At 39.0% G+C, this 24,130-nt stretch overlaps 1 long non-coding RNA gene across 1 annotated transcript in view; it reads right to left on the bottom strand.

Annotated features, from left to right (window-relative positions):
• Positions 1-24,130, bottom strand: part of LOC105373893 (uncharacterized) — a 428,255-nt gene that overhangs the window by 167,188 nt on the left and 236,937 nt on the right. The window contains exon 3 of the long non-coding RNA XR_001739889.2: positions 6,558-6,678. This is a non-coding gene — a long non-coding RNA (uncharacterized LOC105373893). The remainder of the gene's footprint in view (positions 1-6,557; positions 6,679-24,130) is intronic.

Genomic DNA, 24,130 nt, shown 5'->3' with positions numbered 1-24,130 from the left:
AATGTCCATCACCAGACAAATGGATTTTTAAAATGAGGCACATATACACAATTGAGTACTAGTCAGCCATAAAAAAAGAATGAGATCCGGTCATTTGCAACAACATGGATGGAACCGGAAGTCATTATGTAAAGTGAAATAAGCCAAGCACAGAAAGACAAACTTCACATGTTCTCACTTACTTATGGGAACTAAAAATTAAAATAATTGAACTCATGGAGATAGAGAGTAGACTGATGGTTACCAGAGCCTGGGAAGGTGAATGAGGGTTGAGGGAGATGTGGGTATGGCTAATGGGTACAAAAATATAATTAGAATAAATAAGATCTAGTATTTGGTAGTACAACACTGTAATTATAGTCAAAAATAATTTATTGTATATTTCAAAATAACTAAGAGGTTATAATTGGATTGTTTATAACACAAAGAAAGGTTAAATGCTTGAAGTGATGAATGTCTCATTTACCTTGATGTGATTATTACTCATTGCATGCTAGTATCAAAATATTTCATGTACTCCATAAATATATACGCTACTATGTACCCATAAAAATTGAAAAAAGAATTAAAAAGGAAATAAGCCTCAAGTAAAATGAACAAAAATCTAAATAATGGAAAGGTGCTATATGTTTACTTCCTTCATGTTTTGCATTGGGTAGAGAGTTTACCAATTATTCATGTACTGGGTGTCATACTGTTTAAAAATATTGTATAATTCAGAAATTATGGTTCCAGCATTTATTATCTATGATACCTGAGCAAGTCATGTCATCTCACAAGATTTGTTTCCTCACCTGTAAAATGTTAATAATAGTAGTGATCACAGTTAACAGTAGTTTATAATAACAGCAAATATTATTAATAGTAACTATTAATTATAATAATAAAACTCATCATTTTGAAGCATGAATGAAAGATCATACATTAGAAGCCAACCACAGTGAAGGAGAAATGGCAAGCACTAAATAGTCACTTAAAATATTATATGGTATTTGTCTCCAGAATGTGAATAGAAGATACTAAACTTGGGCACTTATCAACTAGCTGAATTGCTTAATCAATTGTAGCCCTGTTCCCTGAGTCCTTCAAGTCATTTTTAAAACTCTTCAACAAGTTATTTATAGGCAAAGAAATACTATCAATGAAAATTATGATTAAAATTAAACCTTTTCTATACTTCCAAAAATAGTAGATGGGGGGGCAAGGATAGACCACAGGAGTTACGTGTTTTTCCAGGGTCAACTTCCACCATTTTTAGGGAAGATGGAAAATGGAAAACCTTCTATCCCCCATGGAAAAAAGAAAAAGAAATTTCCATAGAAAGGATTCCTCCGGCATTTCTATTATAAAATGAGAAAATTACATCTGAAATTTTTTACATTCCAAGATAAAAAAAAAGAGTTCTTGATAAATGGACACTAAAAGGTGAGGACTTCTTGGTTCTCCTTGAGTCCCAATTGTACAGGACTAGCCACTGTGACATATGGTACCTCATTTAGTTCTCTATATAGTGTTCCCATTGCTTCAGTACCACAAAAAATAAAAGAGAAATGCAAAAACTGCTGCACCCGCCTTCAACTCATATATTTTAGTACTTGTGAGCAGGCATCTTAGAATAATGGAAAATGCTGAAGCTAGATTCAGGGTTTAGGAGATTATGATTTCCAGATTCTAACTCAATATTTTCCCATCCTAAAAATAACATTCTGTTACTGCTTATGGCATGAGAAAATTCAGTTCAGACAACTAATGCACATAGGCAGAGGGCATGCTAACCATGTACACTGGACTCAGATGGCTTTACTACAGCCTTAAAAAAGAAACACACCTAGAATCAAAAGATCTCAGTCCAAAAAGCCTTTTCCACATTTCCTTTGGGACTCCAGAGGAAGTTTCTTTACAAAACTCATAGTATTTTCTCTAAATCCAGGGAAATTCGGCACATCTCATGACAGGGATTGAAGGTAAGCTACCTAGCACCACATATGTTAAACGTTTTAATTCCCTAGCAAAATGAGTTTTGTGTTAATGCCTCCGTAGGAGCTCCACTTGATAGAGTTTCCCTGCTTCTTCTAAGGCGGCCAATCACCAGGCTACCAACAAGCAAACATTTGATGATGCCACAGATCAATATAATTGCCATGTTTTGTGGGATGCTCTACTGGGAAGTACATTTTGGAGTAAGAATGCCTACCAATGGACCAGGAAAAGAAGGCAGTGAGTGTACTTTTATTTATAACACATTATATCAGCAAAACTGGTATTTTGTTAACCAAAATTCCCTGCACTATTCCTTTTAATATTCTTTAGGGTCAGACAGTCTGCTTTTTCATTCTTGGGCCTCCACTGAATAACTTCATCCAAAGTGTTGTAGATGGTAAAGAGTGCATTTTCGCATGACCAGTTTGGGAGTGAATAATATTACTGAGTTTTTACTGATTCATACTAGATAAAACCTTTCATTTGGCCCAGAAAAAAACTATGATTTTCAAAAATTTATAAACAGCATAACTCAATCATAAAGTTTCCACAATATTTTCATATATGTATTGCCCCAAAACACATGATTTCTACCTCATAAGCCTAATGCAAAAAGAAAGTGAGAAAGAAGAAGGGAAGAGGAAGAAACAGAGGCAGGGAGGGAAGAAGGAAGGATGGGAGAAAGGTAAGAAGAAAGTTTAAATAGTAAGCAAAAATGTGTTTAAATCTCAGCTCAAGCAAACAACCACATACACTGTGGTCACTTGATACACATTTGGTGAATGAATGAGCAAATGGATGAGAACATTCAGATTATTATCAGCAATATTAGTAAAGTAGTAACAATAATAACCAACACTTTGTTAGTCTACTTATTAGCCAGGCACCATTCCAAGCAGTTTATATGTGTTAATTCATTTAACCTGAGTAACCCTAGAAGGTTAGGCACTGTTTTCATTTTTGATTTATAAATAAGAAAACTGAGGCTCAGGAATATTAAGTAACTTGCCAAAGACCACACATCTAGTAAGCAGCAGAACAGGATTTGGACCCAGGCAGTCTGGTTCCAGAGTGCCTCTTCTAATGACTCTGCTTTCTGAAAACTTTACTCTGATTGGCTTAAACAATTAAGAAATGCATCATCAGTGCGGAGGTAGAAGAAGTTCCAAGGGTGGTACATCCAGTAATCAATATTTTCACCTCAACAGGACCCAAGTGGCCAGGCATGGTGGCTCATGCCTGTAATCCCAGCACTTTGAGAGGGCAAGATGGGCAAATCACTTGAGGTCAGAAATTCCAGACCAGCCTGGCCAACATGATGAAACCCTGTCTCTACTAAAAATACAAAAATTAGCCAGGAGTGGTGGCACATGCTTGTAGTCCCAGCTACTCGGGAGGCTGAGGCAGGAGAACCACCTGAACTCAGGAGGCATAGGTTGCAGCGAGCTAAGATCATGCCACTGCACTCCAGACTGGGAGACAAAGCGAGACTCCATCTCAAAAACAAACAAACAAACAAACAAAAAAAAAACGGACCCAAGTTCTGTCCATCTATCTGTCTTACCATATGCATTTTTTTCATGCATTTATTGATTTCACCTTTTGGATACAGGTTGCCCTTTTCTGCATCTGGGAGAAGAGGAGAGAGAAAAGAAAAAAAAACTTAGCTCTGAACATTCATTGAAATATAAGTCTCCATCCCAATCTAATTGCAGCAACCTAGGGCACATACTCCGCCCCAGACCAAAATAGCCACCAGGAAAGCGACATAAACTGATTGAGTCTTATGACTCATCTGGGATGGAATAAGTTTCGGAGAGTCACTATAATGTTTTGGTTTAGAAATTGCCCACCATATTATTGTCCACTGTAGTATTTTGGTTTAAAAATGGCTAATGTGAAACCTACAGAGAGATCAATATATTCTGTCTTCAAAATAATAAGACATGATGACTTCATCAAACATTTTATGAAATAGAACATCTCTAGGTTTACCTTTTGTTATGGCATTCTATGATCTTATAAATTCACTGAACTTTTACTAATGTTTCTCAGGATAAAAGTGTTCCTGTGGAAATATTTCCATATACCCCAATTTTTCTGATACAGCACAATTAAACTTGCATCATTTATCATATTGGTGACTTAGGAGGAAAAACATGATGAAATAAAAGGGAAATGTAAGGCACTGACTTTACTTTTTCACTATCTTAGGAGCAGATGTTTTCCATCATAATGTATGAGCTACTCATGGTTGTGCCCCTGAGTACAGCAATGGACCTTCAGCGGACCTGGCATGTGGGTCTCCTCAGAAATGCTACACCTGGGAAACCAATCTTTAATTCAGCTGGTCTGACGGTGAACACTCAAGATGGCACCAAGGTTGCTTTTGCACTGCGAACTGGCAGACAGGCTGGTGAGTCCCCATATTATCATCAACGAACAGGAGAATATGACTGTACCCCAATAATGGCAAACAGGCACTTTTTACCAAGCAAGAACTCTAACTCCATGCAGGTGGTAGCAGCAGCTGTTATATATTCCTATAGAGATTCAGGGACCTGAGAAGTCTTCTCCTGGGAGCATGGCTTATTGTCTCCTTTCTGGAGCAATCTTCATATGCTTTGCCATTAAAAAAACATTATCTTTCATAAGTGTGTCTACTGTCCTCTTACCATCAATCACATCACTCTCCCATGGAGACATTCATGCAATTATACAGGATATTGAACAAGAGCAGTTTGGGAGTCAATCATTTTCTGTAAAGTCTCTATGTATTAAGCTAGAGATGGCTGGAAGGGAATTTTTCTAAGGTATTCTACATGGTTCTGCAGGCATCTGAGAACACCCTGAAATGATCAAGGGGATCCACTGAAATTAAGAGTTTTATAGGTTAACGAGAATGCCTCTGCCTTGACACTTGGATGAATTGAGTTCTATTGAATTGAGTTCTTTAGAACTTTGCTACTCGAGACAGTAGCCCATGGACCAGGAACATCTGCTGAAATCTAGGGGTCCTCCTATCCCATATCTACTTATTTAGAATCTGAATTTTAACACGATCTCCAAGTGTTTCTCATGCAAATTAAAATTTGGGTAGCTATCACTGCTTTAAGGATCTGCCTTCTTTGGCTTATAAGAATTTACTCCCTTCTATCCCTTCGTTATATAATAAAATCATGTGGGCTCAGTCAAATACCCATTTGCAAATACTCATCCCTGGAGCCACATCTTCAAAATAATGTAGCAAATTAGGCAGACATACACAAATAACAATATGGTACCTATGTACATGCAGTACCTTGAAGATTCTAGATATTCTCAAATTAGGAACCACTGATATGAATGTATGAATTACCAATTACTAGAATTAAAGCTTGAAATTAAAAAAAACTATGTGAAATACTTGACAATCAAGCTTAATTTAACTAAAAAGGACTGTTTTGCCTGAAGTAGAGAGACTTGAGAAAACATCACTGCCTTCTTCAAATGTATGAAGGCTGGTCCCGTGAGAAGGGACTAAATCTCTGTAGGAGACAAAAGGTAAAAATAGAGCAAGAACAAAGATGTGACAGGGTAGCAGATCCCAGCTTTATTTAAAGAAGAAGTCCTTGATAGTTAGAACTATCCATGGTATTGAATATGCCACCCGGGAAATCATTACCCAAACTGCATTGAGAATAAAATCCATTCCTGTGATTATGGCCTATACAGTATCAGGCCTCTGCATCTCTGACCATCCCCCTCCTCATTCACTGCATTTGCCTCACCTTACCTTAGCTCCCTACTCTTTCTCCAACACATGGACCAAGCTCGTTTCACCCAAGTGTTCTGCACCTGCTGCTACCTCAACCTGAATGATCGTCTCATGCCGTTCTCCTAACTCATATCTTCACGCCAGTCAGGTCCCTGCTCAAATGTCTCATCACTTAATCCATGAGGCTGTTGCTGACTGCTCAATCTATCTAGAGTGATTTCAGAATAATCTCCTCCTTCCTCTCTCTCTCTCTCTCTCTCTCTCTCAACCAGTTATGTTAAGGTAATACACAATGTCCAATTCTCAGTTCTCAGAAAAACTAAGAGTTGCCTAGCATGATATCTGGAATTCTGGTTGCTGCAGATTGGCTGTGGCTGTGACTCACAGGCTTCTTCAAATGACAGAGGGGTAGAGCAAGAGTCTAAGCTGAACCATGTGATCACTATAGAGTTTCTGCCCAAAACTAAGAAAATTGTATTGTATTCAATGTCAATGTCCTGATTGTGATACTATACCATAGTCTTGCACGATGTTACCACTGGGGGAAACTGGATGGAGTCCATGGGATCTCTCTGCGTTATTTCTTACAGCTGCATATGGACTTACATCTCTCTCAAAATATTAAAAAGCTTAGTTGTGTTTGTTTGTTTGTTTGTTTGTTTGTTTTTTGAGACGGAGTCTCGCTCTGTCGCCCACGCTGGAGTGCAGTGGCGCGATCTTGGCTCACTGCAAGCTCTGCCTCCCGGGTTCACGCCATTCTCCTGCTTCAGCCTCCCATATCTGCCTTACCTAAATTTGGCATGTATCACACTCTACTCACATTCCACTGGCCAACACAAGTCACGTGAACAGGCAGGAAAATATACCTGCCACGAGAAGGCACTACAAGCCACACGGCTCTGGATGGAGGTGGACAGTTCGTGTAACAATCAGGATCCTACCTGGAAAACAGAAACCACATTAAGTTTCTTAACAGAGAGAAATAAATATGACGAAGTGTTATGTTAAAATCATGGTTGAAACCTAAAATGATAGAAAGAGAACACAAAGCTAATAAGAATAATAGCTGCAAACACCACCCAATACTAGGGAACAAAGGGAAGAAGTTGGTTTTCACAGAAATTAAAAGCTTGGAGGAGAGGCTCCAAAGAGATGAGACTCAGAAAAGAGTGGGCACTGCTCAGGTGGTGGTATTACGGAGGAATGTGAAAGACTTGCTATAGTTGTTATTTCTACAGTGGGCCACAAGACTATATTTAGTAATTATTATTTTTGTCTTTTTTTTTTTTTACCCATTCCATATTCCTTGTCCTCAGTCAGCACCTCAGGTAGTTGGGGTTCTTGGTGGGGTGACTCAAACCCTGATTCCTGAAAGGCCTGATTCTTAGTAGTCCCACCTTTGTGCTGGTTGCTATAGTTTTCCTTTGACTTTTACCAAGAGGACATGGGAACACTAAGAGATGCCCCAGAGAATCCCTTAAGCTCCAGCCATTTTGCTCCCTGCCTCGACCATATGGTAGCAACTCAATTTTCTTTGGTAATCAGGATTAATTTTCCTAATTAGCAGGGATTCCACTCTTTACCAAGATGGCTAGGAGATAGTCTCAACTGGCAATGCAATTGAACTAATGTTGTATCCCCACATAGAAGCATTCCTTCCTTGGAAACAAAGTCAGAAAAAACTGCTGATCTGAACATTCTGGGGATAAGAATTAGAAATTCTGTAGGTAGGCTATCAAAATTCATAGTGAGAAGAACAATTTTTGCTTCTATTCTTGATTCTGGGGCCCAGGCATACTGGCTGTGGGAGAAACAGCACCATATACTGACCACTAATTTTATTATTTAAGATAGAACCCAGTGTTTTCTCCTCACTGAAAAATTAATTCAACCTTTATTTGGTCATTCTGTGACTCTCTCAGGCCAGCTGCTTCTGGGTGATGGAGTATATAATAAATCATTGATGGTACAGCTAATCTCCTCAATCTCCCTTCCTACTATAAGGGACTTCACTCTACAGGTGACTATATCATGTGTCTGAGTATTTCTGTTCTAATTACATCTCTAGCAACTGGAAAAATAACCACAGGAGAGTCCATTGACTCACTTGGCCAATGGTGAGACAGACTTGGGCAAAATTTCATTGATTGCTTGGACACCATAAGGCCCTAGTTGACTAGTGGACCGTAGAATTTCTTTGGGTCCTCAGGAATAAGCATAATTTCAGAGCCAGTGTTCACTGATCCCCCATTGTCTGAGTACTTGCCTTTCTCAAGTATTTTCCTCCCTCCTTCCCCGTTTCCATAGTCACTCATAAATGGAAGAGTTAAGCGAATATTTAAAAACAGTAATACAAATCTACTCAACTCTCTTGCTTCTTTTATTTTTCTTCATAGCACTGATTGCTACTCAAATTACATCTTTTTTTTGTTGCTATTTGGTTATCTTTCATCTTCTTTCTTTCTGAGTAAAACATAAGCTCCAGGAGGATGGTATGTCTTATTCATCACTGTTTTTCCCCAGTGCTTGGAACAATGCCTGGACACCAATAAGTATTTAATAAATACTTGTTGAACAAACGAACATTTCTAGAAGGTAGTTTGGCAATATGTATCAAAAGCCTTAAAAATGCATAAAGCATATAGCCTAAACATTAGACTTCTAGAAATTTTAAACTTCTTGAAATTCATCCTTAGAAAACACTTACATTTCAGTAAAATTTAGTATTGAAAGAATTATTCATCACAGCATAAAATTTGTAAAAGTAAAATAACCTAAACATATGATCAGAGATTATTAATCCATTAATTCAACTTATACTTCTTAAGTACCACTAAATACCAGGAACACCTGGCTCGGTGCCCAGTATACTACAGTTAATAAGACAGATATGATCCCTCAAGGAGCCCAGAGAGAAAGATGTCAAGAGACTATTTTGCTTTTTATTTTTCAATGCAGCAAATACACTTATAGATACTCCACTAATAATAGCAATAATAATGAGGATACTTTACATTTGCATAGCACTCCTCGCTTTTCAAAGTAATTCTCCAGCTATTATATTTCTTAAAATTAGGTCATATTAAACTGCACTTGAACTCCATTATTAGATCTTTTCTGAGAAGAGAGTTGAGAGACTGTTGGCCCTTTTACATTAATTATGGACATATAAGATGAATTAATCAAATTCTGCTGTATTTGCTATTAAGGTCAATTGTGTGGGGAAAAAAAGTCACTCTGCAGGGTTTACAGTAGGATGCAGCAGAGAGGATTGTATAAAAAAATCAAAGGTTTTAACAATGATTTTATTTTTAAATAAACCCTGAACCCGTTGTCTGGATGAAGCCTCACTAGTAGTCTGCATGAACACCACCATTTTGGAGATTCAAGTTAACTGGCAGAGATAGTTTACAGTGAAGCTTCAAGGCCTCAAGTTTCAGGGCCCTTTCTTTGCATGGGCTGTGGGAGAGGAGTTTGCAAGGTATTCAATGGCCATATGTTTTTGTAAATTTGACAAAAAGATTTTTACCTCAATCAGTTTAGACTGACATGTGCCTTTTTTCATCAGACTTCTCCTCTTTCACTTTTATCTTTTTTTTCTTTTCTTTTCTTTTCTTTTTTTTTTTGGAGATGGAGTTTTGCTCTTGTCCCCCAGGCTGGATGGAGTGCAGTGGTGAGATCTCGGCTCACTGCAAACTCTGTCTCCCATGGTTCAAGTGATTCTCCTGCCTCAGCCTCCCAAGTAACTGGGATTACAGGCACATGCCACCATGCCCAGGTAATTTTTGTGTTTTTTGTAGAGATGGGGTTTCACCATATTGACCAGGCTGATCTCGAACTCCGGACCTCAAGTGATCCACCTTCCTCAGCCTTCCAAAGTGCTAGGATTATAGGCATAAGCTTCCGTGCCCAGCCCACATTTTTCTTTCATCAGGTGGCACTACAGGGGCCACAGCCAGAGCTTTCCATAGGGTGTGCAGAGCCCCCAAAAATATTTTTGTGAAACCCCTGTCTATATAAACAACTTTATGGAATATTACAAAATTAATGGTCCTGTAGGAGGTACAGGGATGTGTCAACAAAGACTTAGAATAATGAGTAGATGAGAAATTTATGTATACGTCTGTTGTCCTATCAAGACACATGAATATCCTTTGTAGTATCCAGGGACCATCTTTGCCCATTCTGGGCCAGAAGCCATTTCTTTTTGTTCTATACAATCAAATGTGTGGTTTCTGGCAAGCTTCATAACGCCCATCATGAGAAAAAAGTAGCATACTCATTACTCACAATGCATGGCTCAGTGTGTGTGTGGGTATGGGGGTGTGGGTGTGTGGGTATGGGGGTGTGGGTTTGTGGGTGTGTGTGTGTGCACACATGCCTGTGTATGTGTGCACATTGTTTGTTTTGAGACAGCATCTCACTCTGTTGCCCAGGCTAGAGTGCAGTGCCACAATCATAGTTAACTGTAGCTTTGAACTCCTAGGCTCTCTCAGCCTCCCCTATAGCTAGGACCACAGGTGGGGGCCATCATGCTTGGCTAATTTGTGTGTGTGTGTGTGTGTGTGTGTGTGTGTGTGTGTGTGTGTGTAGGCACAAGGTCTCACTGTGTTGCCCAGGTTAGTTTCAAACTCTGGGTCTCAACCAATCCTCCCGCCTCAGCCTCCCAAAGTACTGAGATTACAGGTGTGAGCCATTGCATCCTGCCATGGCTTTTTGAAACCTGTTTGTACTGAAACAATATTGATCCTCTAGCCTCTGCAGTCTCCTAATGCTATTTATTTAATGCTATTTACATGATTACTCATAAGCCACATCACCCATTGTGCCACCTAGGGATACTGGCTTCCAGTGACCCTCGAAGTTGTTACTGTATTTATTTGATTATGAACATAAATTCCAGTCTTACCCAAAGTATACAGGAAAATGTGAACAATGATTTATATGCTGGTCAGGTTAAATTTACCATTTGTTACTTTATAGCCTAAGTACAGAACAACATACCTACCATCTATTTCTCCTCTTAAGTTATTTAGGCCAAATCATTGTGTTTCTAGAATGTGATCGTTTACCGTTTTGACTGTACCACCCGCTTCCACACACTGGGGAGGAGAGAAAGAAGGATCACGGGAGGAGGGGGACGAGTGATCTCATTCCTACAAAGAATGCCCATTAAGCATTAAGCATGGCTTAAGAGTGACCTGGGAGAATATGACATCACCATATCTCACCATACCACCTCCCCAGGCGGCAAAAAACTGCACTAATCGGAAGGGCCCGCTGACATTACAGAGCAATAGTCTTGAGAAACCCTTGGAGGACAGAAGCACAGCCACTCTGGAGGATGCCTGACCGTTGGTGTGGAACCTGCAGAGGAGTTAGAGTGACAGCTCTGGATGCCCATGGCAAGAGTCCTACAAAGTAGACAACTGCTACCATCACTAATTGCCCTCAGGGGCTGTAGATCAGAGGCAGCCCCGCGGTTGGAGCAAGGACTGGCGAGAGCCCGTGCATAGGCCCACACCCAGAGCTTAGGCCCCAGGGTTAACAGTAGATGGTCGGTAGTTCAGAGCCCTGAACTCATCCTGTGTCACCCAAAATCAGTCCAACAACACAGGTTATCATGAAAACAAAAAAAATGCCATACTGGTCAGTGGGTACAGTGTACCCATCAGGCCTCTCAAACCCTGAGTCCTACAGATCTTTGAGGTATATGGCCAACCTGAAACATGCAGTAGAGGGTCAGAGAACATACCAGGCTGAAATGAGGACCAGGGCACATGCAGGTCCAGATCCAGGGCTGGATGTGCACCACCCAGGTGGCAATGGTAGCCCCAGCCAATCTCAGGAACCATAGAGAAACCTCAACAGTTTTGAGGAAGTCACTCCACAGTGCACGATCCCCTGAGGCTCAGTGTTTGGGGTGGGGGCCCTGATGGCTGCAGTCTAAAGGCAATACTGCAAACAGGCATTTGTGATAGGCTATTAAAGGAATGCTGACTTGGAAGACACATTTAGTTGGGGTTAATATAGTTATTTGGGTTGCCATTACTTTTGTGTATAATTAAGTTTCTGCCAGCCATCCCAATGCAAAAATGTCTTTCCAGGAATTTCTACTACCCACTGTACCAACTCACCCAATATCATGATGTGCAGGAGCAGGGCCAGATGCCACGGTAAGGTGTGACATTGCACCAGAAGAATGTGTCTCACAGGTATTGGTGAGAAACCAAGTTTAAAAGTAGGGAGCAAGAAGATAGTCTGTGGGAAGGTTTGTTGATGTTAATATCTCATGTATGAAATGAACATGATAGAAGTTTTCCCAAATTTAACAATAATTTTAATGATTTACATGAAATTACCAATAATGAGCTGTGAGATCAAAGAAGCTTCTAAACATGTCAACAGTGAGACTGAACTATTTTCTGTACAGAAAATATTACAAAATACTGTCATATAATAAGATGGCCAAAGAGTCATTAAGGTCATTTTATCAATCTGCCATGTCTTCCAGGTCTCCCGTTTAGCACGCTTGATACTCTCTGGCCCCTGACATATTTTATGCCCAAACTCCTTCCCACAGATGTTTTGTAAGACACTTGCAGTTAATTTGGTAAACTAATTTGAACTGAGGAGTTAGGCTGGTTAATAATGATTTCGAATAGTATCATCTCCCTGTTGTGGTTTGCATTTTAACCAGCATTTTTCAATGCTTTAATGCAGCATTTTCTCAATTTGGTTTCAATGAAGATCAACCAAAAATATAGGAAAAAGTATTATAGAGATATCCTAGTATATTAATAGAGCTATAATGTTTCTGACTTTTGTGCTGTTTACAGCAGTAACTTTTATATTTTGTAGCCTGCTGTAATTTCTTTTCTTACTCTAAACAAATATTAACTTTAATTCCCAATTTTGAATATACTTTTTTAAAGAAGACCCTCAAAATTGTATACATTTCTAGGTTCACAATGCCTGGATCCAACCCTGTTACTAGGGCCACATCTTACGCAGCTTCAAAATAGCTGAGTTGTCAATTGAAATTTGTTGTTAGCTATAAAAAAAGGAAGACATGTAGATTTATGAGTTCCTCTGAGTAGCAAGTACAGCATTTACTCCCCAAAAGGAGTCATTCACATATAAAATCAAATCAATACATATATTCTTATCAAATGAGACTTTCAGCAGATGTAAACATGCACACCAATAATCCCTAACCTCTTTATTCTGTCAGAAGGCTGAAAAATATTGTGCCTGGCAAAGTTTCCTATTCCTGAAAATTCATTTTTAATTCCTAAGGAAGGTTTACATTAATTTCATCTTTGTTTTCCTACCAGCTCCTACTTTCATGGAATTCTCTTGGGAGAAGCTCCTAAAGTATCCAGGACTGTTCTAGCCAGCTGTGCAGGGTTGGGCTAAGGGCCAATGTGTGTAAATATGGGAAGGCCAGGAGGTTAACAGAATTCTGGCTGGGTTCTGCCCAGGCTTCATTCTCTGAGGGGGTGGTTCTACACTTCATCACTAGGGAAACTGCCTCCCACAGCTCCATGTGCTGTATATGACCAAAAACACACCACAGTGGAATTTGAACGTTTGAGTTTAAGGTGGTCACTTTTTAATGCAGCAGATGGAAGAGAAGAGTAGAATACCAGTGGGAGATATTAGAAAGCTGGAACGCTTTAGCGTTAATCTTACATAATCTGATTTTAAAATAGTTCCCATGGGACAAGTCAGGAGTAAGGCAAGGCCCATCCTGTTGCAGTCAACATGAAAAGAATTAGTTACTAGCAATGCCTTACTCTAGATTTAGTTTCTGCAGCTATACATGTTCTTAGTGTTTGAATTTGCCTCAGTCAAGGAAATTAACATGAACTATACTCACAACCTCTCCCCCCAAAAAAGGCGAAATCTCAGTGGCTTAAAATAAAAATTTATTTCTAACCCACACAAAGTCCAGTGTGTATGCTTGTGTGACTGTACGCCATACAGTGACTCAGGAACCCAGACTGCTTTAATCATGTGACTCTTCTTATTGCCCTGATAGAATATAACTGGCAGATGGGAGAGTTGAAAAAATGCAAGAATGTGCAAGACTTTCTGTATATGTCAGGATTAGAGGTGAAGTTTGTCACCTCTGCCCACATTGCACTAGTCAGAACTCAATCACCTGGCTTCATCTAGCTGGATGAGACACTGGAAATGTCACTGAAATGTGTGCAAAGAAATGAAAGGAAACAGGTTTGGTGCCACACTAGTGGTATCACCATAAACCAGCTAAACTCCAAGTTTGAATATCAGTTCTCCATATACCAAGAAACACTTTTGCATGCTGAGGGAATTTTAAACAACTCCACTTGCTGCTGGCAATCATTTATTTGACTTTATGCTTTAAATGAATACAGAAAGATTAGAATCTGATTTGTATGATTCTTGTTGCTTAAGTAAACCCTGATTGAACATCTCTTTTCTCTTATTTGGTTCTAGGCCAATATTACCCATATGAATTGAGGTTGGTAGGATAAATATTTAATATTCAGGAACGTTCTATCTTTTTTTTTTTTTTGAGGCAGATTCTCACTCTGTCGCCCAGGCTGGAGTGCAGTGGCACAATCTCGGCTCACTGCAACCTCCATCTCCTGGGTTCAAGCAATTCTCCTACTTCAGCCTCCCGAGTAGCTGGGATTACAGGTGCCCACCACCACACCCAGCTGTTATTTGCATTTTTAGTAGAGACGGGGTTTCACTACGTTGGCCAGGCTGGTCTCAAACTCCTGACCTCAGGCAATCCGCCCACCTCGGCCTCCCAAAGTGCTGGGACTACAGGCGTGAGCCACTGCGCCCAGCCTTCTGTCTTTTTCTGCTCCACCATGTCTTCCCGGCCTCTCAATTAGCACCCTTGATACTCTCTGGCCCCTGTCATATTTTATCTCCAAGCTCCTTCTCACAAGAGTTTTGTAAGACACTTGCAGTTAATTTGATAAACTAATTGGAACTGAGGAGTTAGATTGCTTAACAATGACTTCAAGTATTATCATCTCCCTGTTCTGGTTTGCATTTTAACCAGCATTTTTCAGTGCTTTAATGCATTTCCTCAATCTGGTTTCAGTGAAGATCAGCCCCATAAAATGTTGGTGGAGGGAGGGGGCCAAATGGGTAAAATCTCCCTTTCAGCTAAGTTTGGCCATCTTTACGTGGCTACATACTGCAGCTCTTCCTTTTAAAGATGCGTAATGTACATGACAATATTACCAGTCCTGGGAAATTCTGCAGTAAAGACTTTACTGTCTTAGTTTATTCCATTTTTTTCCCAAGCTTTTTGACCATGGAATTTATTTGCTATTTTTTATTTTTTGGTTTTTGGTTTTATCATTTCTTTTTGTTTTTGTATAGCTCTTACTCAAGTCATGAAATATTTCTAATGCAGGGAACTGAAAGCCCAGGAGAGAGCCAGTAAGGGCAATAGTTGAGGTAGGGGATTTTTCACAGCTCCACGAGCTGTCTTCTCTCTGTCTGTGGGGCCATCATCGGTTTCAATTTTTTATCCTTTCTATGGCTCAATTTCACGTGTTTGTTGAGCTCCTAACTCAGTGTTTTATCTTTCTAAAACAGTGCATCTCTAGTGATAAATAAATAAGAAAGAAATAAGAATCTGAACAATCAGTCCCCTTGAGGAGAACTCCAACCTCTCTTTCATTTCAATTAAAGAAATTTTGGCATCATTGGTTTTTTTGGTTTGTTCCACATCAAAAAAAAATTAAAATCAAATTTAAAATTTTCCCACTTTGGGCTTTGCACTTAAAGAGAAAAGAACTTTGTCCTCTCAGAGGGAAGGACTTTTAGAAAAAAATTAACCAAATAAATCCAATAAGCCCCCTACCCGTGATCCCCCTTCTCCTCTGGCTTTTCCCTGCTGGGGAAAAAAAATAAACTTTCCTCTTGACTCTCTCTTGCTGACAGTCTCTTCTAACTGCATCACAAATTGAACTTTAAAATAAATAAATGAATAGAGGCAGCTGCTGTGGGATGGGAAATGCAGAGATATACGAGTAGGACTTTGTGAGAAAAGAAACCTCAGCGTCAATTGATCTGAAAACATCCAGTCAGTGTTTTTCATGTGGCTCTAATCTAAATGGGGGAAATAAAGGTGTTTTCAGCAATCATAGGTGATCACATCAAAATGAGAACTCGAAGCTTTGCATAGATGATCCACCAAAACTAGACAGTAGAAAGAAATTTGGGATGACCTTGACCAAGTCTATCTCATGCCAAGTAAGAAAGAATCCACGAAAAAGCAACCACCCAAGAGAGCAAAAGACAGCCCCAGCCTGGTTGTTGACGTTACTGGAATGACTGGAAAGGGTCACCTGTGCTCTTATGAATGGTAGCCCCTTACCTAAAAGTACTTCTCATTGACCAAACATGATAACTCCATGATACCTCCAGCCATGTGAGCTTTGAGCAAGTCACCAAGTAAGCCATAAACTCTTTGGAAACTGGGAGCATTTTTTATACTACTTTATAGCCCTCACAATGTTTGAAAAACTTACTTTTTTTTTTTTCTTTGCTGAGATGGAGTCTTGCTCTGTCACCAGGCTGGATCACAGGGGCACGATCTTGGCTCACTGCAACCTCCACCTCCCAGGTTCATGTGATTCTCATGCCTCAGCCTCCCAAGTAGCTGGGATTACAGGCGTGCACCACCATGCTTGGCTAATTTTTGTATTTTTAGTAGAGATGGGGTTTTGCCATGTTGGCCAGGCGGGTCTCAAACTCCTGAGCTCAAGTAATCTGCCCAACTCAGCTGCCCAAAGTGCTGGGATTACAGGCGTGAGTCACCACACTCAGCCTAGAACACTTGCTTTGTTCAGTAAATATAGTATACAGATTGCTGAGCACAAGCTATGATTTCCAGGTCTGTGTCTTATCGTCTCTTAGCCATGTAATTTAGGTCAGTCACAATTTCATGGAGCCTGTTTCTTCATCTGTATAGTTAATATCTTAAAAATCTTTAGTGCCTCTAGCACAGAGTTGTTAAAAGAATGGAATACAGTGCCAGGGGTGGAGGACTGGACAGAGGACGGCAGGCATTATGCAGCTTCAGGACCCCCTTCTCACTTCAGCTCCAGGAGCTCCACTTATATCTATTTCATATCTTAGAATTCCATGTAAATTTTAGTATAAAGAAAGCATTGCAATGCTTAGAAATATTTGGAAAACATTACTGTGTGACAATGTGCTTGCTAAACTGAGAAGCAGTGTAACTTATTTTTGCAGTATTGTATTGAGGTATAATTTTCCCTGTCTGTGGCTTTTCACTTTCTTAATAATGTCTTTGAAGAGCAGAATGTTTTTAATTTTTATGAAGTCTCATCTAAAATTATTTCCCTATATCAAGATAGGCAAAAAGATATTCTCTTATATTTTCTTGTAGAAGCTTTACAAATTTAGTTTTTATATTAAGCATGATCATGAGAAGTGCATATTTCAATTTGTTAGTTTCTTATTGGGTCTTAAATAAGATGTCTGAGGTTGAGAAATACCATTTGAGTAACTTGTTTCAAGACTTAGAATCTTGCAGATAGATATCCATTAACACTTGTAAGAATCAATAAGAGTATTTAAGTCTAATCTCATTCCATTTGTCCACCTGGCAAGTTGTAAAGAGTTTAAACTAGAACACCCTGACAGTGAAAAGGGGAGTGCCAGACAACATCCTTAATAATGCCAAGACAAGAGTCTTGCCAGGACTTTCCTGGCAAACTCAGGCATATTATCACTCCAGATTTGGGTCTTCTGACTCTTGGTTAAGTATCATCCTAGATATTTCCCATTAAAATAATTCAATCAACAGTTATTAACTTCTGCAGAACTGTTTATTTCAACTACTAAAACAATATTGAGGTGTCAAAAACAGTTGAATACTGGACTCTTCGGTCTTCCCTCTTAGGTCTGGGCCAAGGAACATCAGACATGGTTTGAAAATCAAGACTTGTGACTTATGCATCCTTGAAGACTCACTGTTGAGACTGAACAAAGAATTTTCAACCCTGGTGTTCTATGTCTCCTTTGGGGAGCTCCTCTAAAAAGATACATTGTTACTGCTCCAGTTTGCATCACCATTTGGTTTAATTATTATTTGTAATTGGGAAATAATTAGATAAAACGATGATGTAAACCCCAGTGGAAAATAGACATCTCTTAAGAACTCTAATGTTTTCCGTCTCTTAAAAGGAAGGGGATATGACTTACTAGAGGAAAAAACTAATTAGAAAAGCAGACACATCTTCTCCCTCTCCTCATATTTCAGGCATGCTGGCAAGTGCTCAAAAATGATCACAGAGTGGCCTATTTCTCAAGGACCCCAGGAGAGCATGATAAATTTAAATCATCATCTCAGGAAAAGTGCCTTGAGCACTTATCTTTGCCATTTTATAATCTCCAGTCAGAAGAGAGAGCTTGGCTCTCCAAACTGGCAAAGCCATACAAAATTTTGGCTGAAGGAAAGCTGAGGTAACACCCACACCAAAGCAAATCCAGGCAGGTTAGGATTCCTGCCAAAAGAAATACATTTGAGCAAAGTGAGGAGACAGAAATGTTTAAGACAATGCTGTTCTCCAGAAAAATGAAAACAAGACTTACCCAGGGACACAAATCAGGAAAGTTCAACAGTACAAGGAGATGAGAGGGAAGTGATTAGATGTTCAGATGTGGGTCTAGCAACTTCAAAACCCTAAGTAAATCTCTCTAAAACACTCTGTCTAGAATTAGATCATTGGATTTTAAAAGGTGGATTAACAATAACAACAAATAAAAATCAGGTAACTACCCAAGAAAAAAAAGTAACAATAAAGCAAATATTATGAAGATGAAATCCCAATGAAAGTCATATTTAAATATTTCCACTTTAAAATGTAAATATTTATTAATAAATTATAATGTAGTTATTTGAAGATGACAAACAGGAAGACTTGGAAAAGAAGAACTAGGATTGCAAATATACAAAAATGCTTTTAACCCTTTCTCCCAGTGGGTCCAGTTAGACATTCATCCCTCAGCAATTAGACTAAAATGTAAATCTGGGTTCCCAAGACTCAATTCTTGGCTATAAGTCAGAATTTGTTAATGATCTTAGCTTAGTCTCTCTGTAGCATAATGCTACAAAGTAAACTTATCTAGCCACAAATATTAATCCTGAATTAAAGAGTTCTGAGAATTCGACTACAATCTGATCCTGAATAGATGCCCTCTCTTCTTCACTTTCCCCTCATCCTGCAGACACACCAGACCAATCTGGTTCAACTTTTATATAACAGTGTTTTTCTTTTGCCATGGGCCTTCAGGTCATGTAAGCCGAAGATGTCCAGATGAACCAAGCATGCAACCACTGGGGGAACCTAAGTGCTGGGACCAAGGAGTGGGGACTGACTTAAGTGGACACCATAAGGTAAGATCTATTGTCCAATCAGATGGAGCTCTGGCATCACCCCCGTGGCAGGATCCAATCAGATCCTGCCTCCCTGCATCACTTCATCAGTTCATTGCAAGATCTAGTCAGACCATACCTCATTACCCTATGCTTATAAAACCTGACCCAGCCCCTAGCTTGGGTAGACACTACTTTGGGAGCTGTCCCTGGTATTCTCTTACTTGTTACAAGTAATAAAATCTCCTTGCTAAATCCTCCTTGGTTGTGATCATTGGGTTGATACCCACCAGGCAACTGAACCAACCCATTTTGTGGGTGACAATCCCTTTATTCATGAAAACAGTAAATTCCCAAACTTTTTCCAAGGTTAATGGGAACCCTTGGCTGTAGGATGTGGAGCTTACTGGGAACTGCCACTCCAAGTTGTACAAAAATATTTACTGAATCACCACTAAGTAAAGCTCTCAGTGCTTGGTAGTTTGATACATAAGTCAATGAGTATTGCAGACAAAATGAGCTACTGTGGGGAAAGGTTTCTCTGAGGAGTGTGACTTTGGTTTAGTCTTGAAGGTTAGACAGGTGGTAAAGAAGTGGGAGAACAATCTTGGCAAAGGCACTTAGATCTGTTTGCGCCCAACATGTATAACAGACTGAGAGGGAAGGAGGAGGAATCTGATAAGAGCAAGGCACTAGTGTGGTGCAGAATTGGGAGTGGCAATGCAGACAGCCTGGGGGTCCAGACCATGGGATGCCTTCTATCGCACGGTGTGCATGAACTTTCACTAAGTGGTGATGACTCCTTGGAAAATTAAAGGAGTGTCATATAAGATGTCTTGCAAACGTACCTTTTGAGAATCTTCTTTTCTGTTGGATTTTTGAAGAAAGATTAATGACTAATAAGAGTGTGTGGGAGGAAGGGGGAACTGAAGTCATATCTTTATTGAGAGCTTCATGTGAATGGTAAAGAGTCAAATCAAAAGCACTGGACCAGATTCTCCCAATTGATTCAGGTTATCCATCAAACTAGGGGTCATTTTCAACAAGGTAAATAAATGCAAATGCCTGCCTCTACTTGACATTATCTATCTGACCTCTACATTGATCCCTATTTTGATTGACATGACTTTAAAATCCATGATCCAATTCTCTTTCCACTAGTAGTGTGCTGAAAAACTGGCTCTCCAAAAAAAAAAAAAAAAAAGAGCCCTTTTTGGTTACATTTTTCAATTTCCATTGTGTAACTATCCCGACCATGACCAATTTCAAGCTTCCAACAAGAGGGAGGTCACTAAAAATAGAGTTGAAAAGAGATGCACAAAACTGACTCTTGCAAGCTGGAATAACCAGCTCTATGACACCATTACACCAACTCCTAATTTTTTCATCTTCGAAATGTACTTATCTTATACCTTTCTTCTAAGGTTTTCTTTCACTGGGCATCCCAAGGTGAATATTGCTTGAGATGAACTTGCCTGCATTCCTATAAAATTTACTGAGTTTCTGTACTTCCTCCCACAAAACATCCATAAATCTGGAAACAAGAAGGGCACATTCACTCTCTTTTCATATCTTTACTAGTCTCAAGAAGAATGGGAAATCAAAGAGTGAGTTAATTTAAATGCATCTCCTCCTTCTAAAGTAAAAACTGAAAACCCTCACCTAGCTGAGGGTGAGTTAATATTATTAGGTTCAAAATAGAAAATAGTGTGTTGCCTTTTCTATAGTATGCCAGATGTGAAAAATGGCTCCAAGTCCCATTTTGGAAATCTCCTTATTTTTAAAAATTATGTTTACAGTTTTGTTCATTTATACTATTAAGTATGGAATGTTTGGAAATAAATAGTGCAACATTTGTTTGTTTTTTCTCTTTGGTAATTTTTTTGCAATTAGTGTCATGAATTCTTTCAAAATCAGGAGGAAAAAATATATTAAGACTGTTTTGTTCTTTCTTTTTGAAACATGGTTTAATGTTTATTGTCATAATTTTGATTGCTATTGCACCACCTCGAGTGATGTATTTTTTACTCAGTGAGCTATTACTTGGCTTACATTCATGATTTGTGCATTAATACCATTCAAGGTTATACAATAACAATCAGAAATTATGATAATAAACATTGAACCACATTTCAACAAAAAGTGATAAACTCATATGAGTTTTTTTAATCTTTTCATTAGCAAAGCATCTTATGCTTCAGTGATACTTTAATTACCAAGAAATTACCCAAGAAAATATGTAATTATTTCTAGTAATTGACAGTGACTCTACATGCAACACTTCTTTATAGTAAAATAATTGCTAAAATGTGGCCTTTTTTTTCCAGACATGTGGTTTAATTGATTGCATTCTCTCTTTTGAGTAAAATGGTAGTACAAATATATATATAATCACTAAAGTACACAAGTAATTCTAGTTCAATTGAAAACTGTTTAGTAACCTCAAAAATAATTTTTGATAATGGGCCAGTATTGATAAAATTATCTTGATAAATTGAGAGAAATTGTTTAGATTTCTTATTCTACCCCAATGTACTAATACATGCTCTTTCTCAGAGTGGCTTTGCTAGTCTTTCCAAAACTGTATGTACATTGCAAAGAACATTCTCTAAAGTGGCTACTCAAAAGATCAAAATCCTTTGCTTATGTATGAACATTCATTAAAAGGAAAAGGAAAAGCTTCTTTCTCAAAATCTAAAGCCACACTTGGGAGAAAATCATTTTGATCTTTGCTACCTTTAACATTTCAATACTTTATGATTCTATAAAATCTATTCATAACGTAGACACATTCTTTAAACAAAGAAAGAAAACCAAGGGTTCAAACGTGTCCATCTCTCCACTTCCTGTTTTTTTTTTTACCTGACAGTTTGGTCTAACAAGAGCCCTCACTCAAGAGCCTTAACACAACTCTTTCCACAAATGTCTGCTGTTCTTTCCCCACTGCTTCTTTTCTTCTCCGAGTCAGGACAAAACATCTACTAAATAAGCTTTTGTCTTTACACACTGTTCCTTTTGAAACTGACCAACAGAGTGGGTTTTTTTTTAACCAAAAACAATATACAACCATGACCCAGATGATAACATTTTATCAATATAGTTTAATTTGAAGAAAAATACAGTTTTCCACACTGTAGAGAAGGACTAAAATGTTTGTAAACTCTGGGCATTGCAGAACATCCCCCTGCACATTTCTATCTTCTTTGTAAAAATCACCTTCAGGAGTCATTCTCCTACTGCAATCTTAGGAGAAGGCCCACAAATCTAAAATCACAGTAATAAAACCCTGACATTTCTGCTTCGCGATCTCTGGATTAGCGTGGGAAGCTATTTTGGGAACTATGGATCCCTAAATATTCGTACAAGCCACTTGAAGGGATGGTTAGTGGGAAGAAGCAGAAGACAAGGTGAGTGATGTGTCCCCAGTCCCTTGTCTGTTACACAACAAGTGGCTCTCTGAATTTATCTCTTGTTTATATCGGGTTTTCTGGTTGCTTATAATTTTAGGAAAACCATCATTTTCTCTCAGTTTATAGATTAGAAAATGGAGTTTTTTCGTGAATACAACAGATTTGCCCTGAGTGAAACACCTGCTTGACGGCAGTGTCAGGTCTAGAATATAGTACATGTGACTCTCAGCCCAGTGCTCATTTTCCTACATGTCTCTATCCTGAGACAGAAAAGTGCTGCAGCATTTTGTTTCATAGTCTATGGACTGCTCATGAGACTTACCACCATGTTTCTTCAGGGAGATAAATTCAGCCATTCAGCCAGAGAGAGATCCGAGGCAACAAGCATCAGTGAACTAAAATATTGGCCCTGAATCAGGACCCAGCTTAATGTAATATACCAGAGCATGTAATATAATCCTGTCTCTCTTGATCCACACTCCAGACAACTAGCCAGCCATGCCCTTGGGAGACTATTACTTGACATCTATGATGTTTAGATACAAAGTAGGGCTTACCGCTCCTTATGTAGATACTTCACTGTTCATCTGCTGAAATCTTAAGCATGACCTCTAGCACACTGTGTTTAACAAGGACAGCAACAATGCCTTAGGCCTTAAGTTCCCATACCAGTCCAATCTTCTACTATATATGCCGGGTGTCTCCTTTCATCCTATCCCATTGACTACAATATTCATCTTTTGCCCCTTGCTGATGGAGAATGTTTGTGGGTTTTTTTTTCCAATGGAATGGGAAGCCTGAAAGCGTAATGATTGCAGAATAATTTTTCCTGTGTTTGTTTTTCACTTGTCTCGATAAATTTTTAGTTTGACAGGTAGAAAGGGCTTTCTGTTTTTCTATGTGCTAAAGAGGGTCTCATCACTCAACAAATCCCACGAGCTTTTACATTCTCAGCACTGTGTCCTTCTGACCTTAAACTTTCTCATTGCCTGGAAATAAAGCTTTTCATGAGAACTCACAAAGCCCTACCAGCTGAGTTTGACAATGAGACAGGCAATACACAGGGCAGATTATCATTGGAGGAAACTGCAACTTCCTCATCAAAATCATTTGTTTAACAGAAAACCCAGGAGTCTACTGTAAGTTAACAGACTTGCTCCCTTACCTCCAGCAGCTTATAATTTCTTGGGAACATAGAACACAGTGGCACTTAGAGAATGAAATGACTTTATTTCTCTTTGCATTAGATATACCCTCCCCCATTTCTGGCATGGAAAGATCCTAAGTTTTTAGTCTCACTTCAGGGAGACCCCATCAGCTAGAGCAGAAACACTGTACCCCTTATACTACTTCTGTTGGGGATTCCATTTAAGAGGCCTCAAGAGGAGCAGGAAGAAAAGGGGGCAAGAAACTACACCAAGGAGGAGAAAAACAACTTGTCCTGAGCACCCCTGGTGGGTTCCTGAGTCACGGAGTGTAGTATTATATGGCTTGCCAATGACTCAATAAGGGAACACTGGAAAGGCCCTGAACCTGCCTAGCTGCCATTGCCTCATCTTT

The sequence above is a fragment of the Homo sapiens genome, chromosome 2 (genome assembly GCF_000001405.40).
Source record: "Homo sapiens chromosome 2, GRCh38.p14 Primary Assembly".
Taxonomy (NCBI): Eukaryota; Metazoa; Chordata; class Mammalia; order Primates; family Hominidae; genus Homo; species Homo sapiens.
The sequence above is the reverse complement of the archived record's forward strand: the minus strand, read 5'-3'. Positions and strand labels throughout refer to the sequence as shown.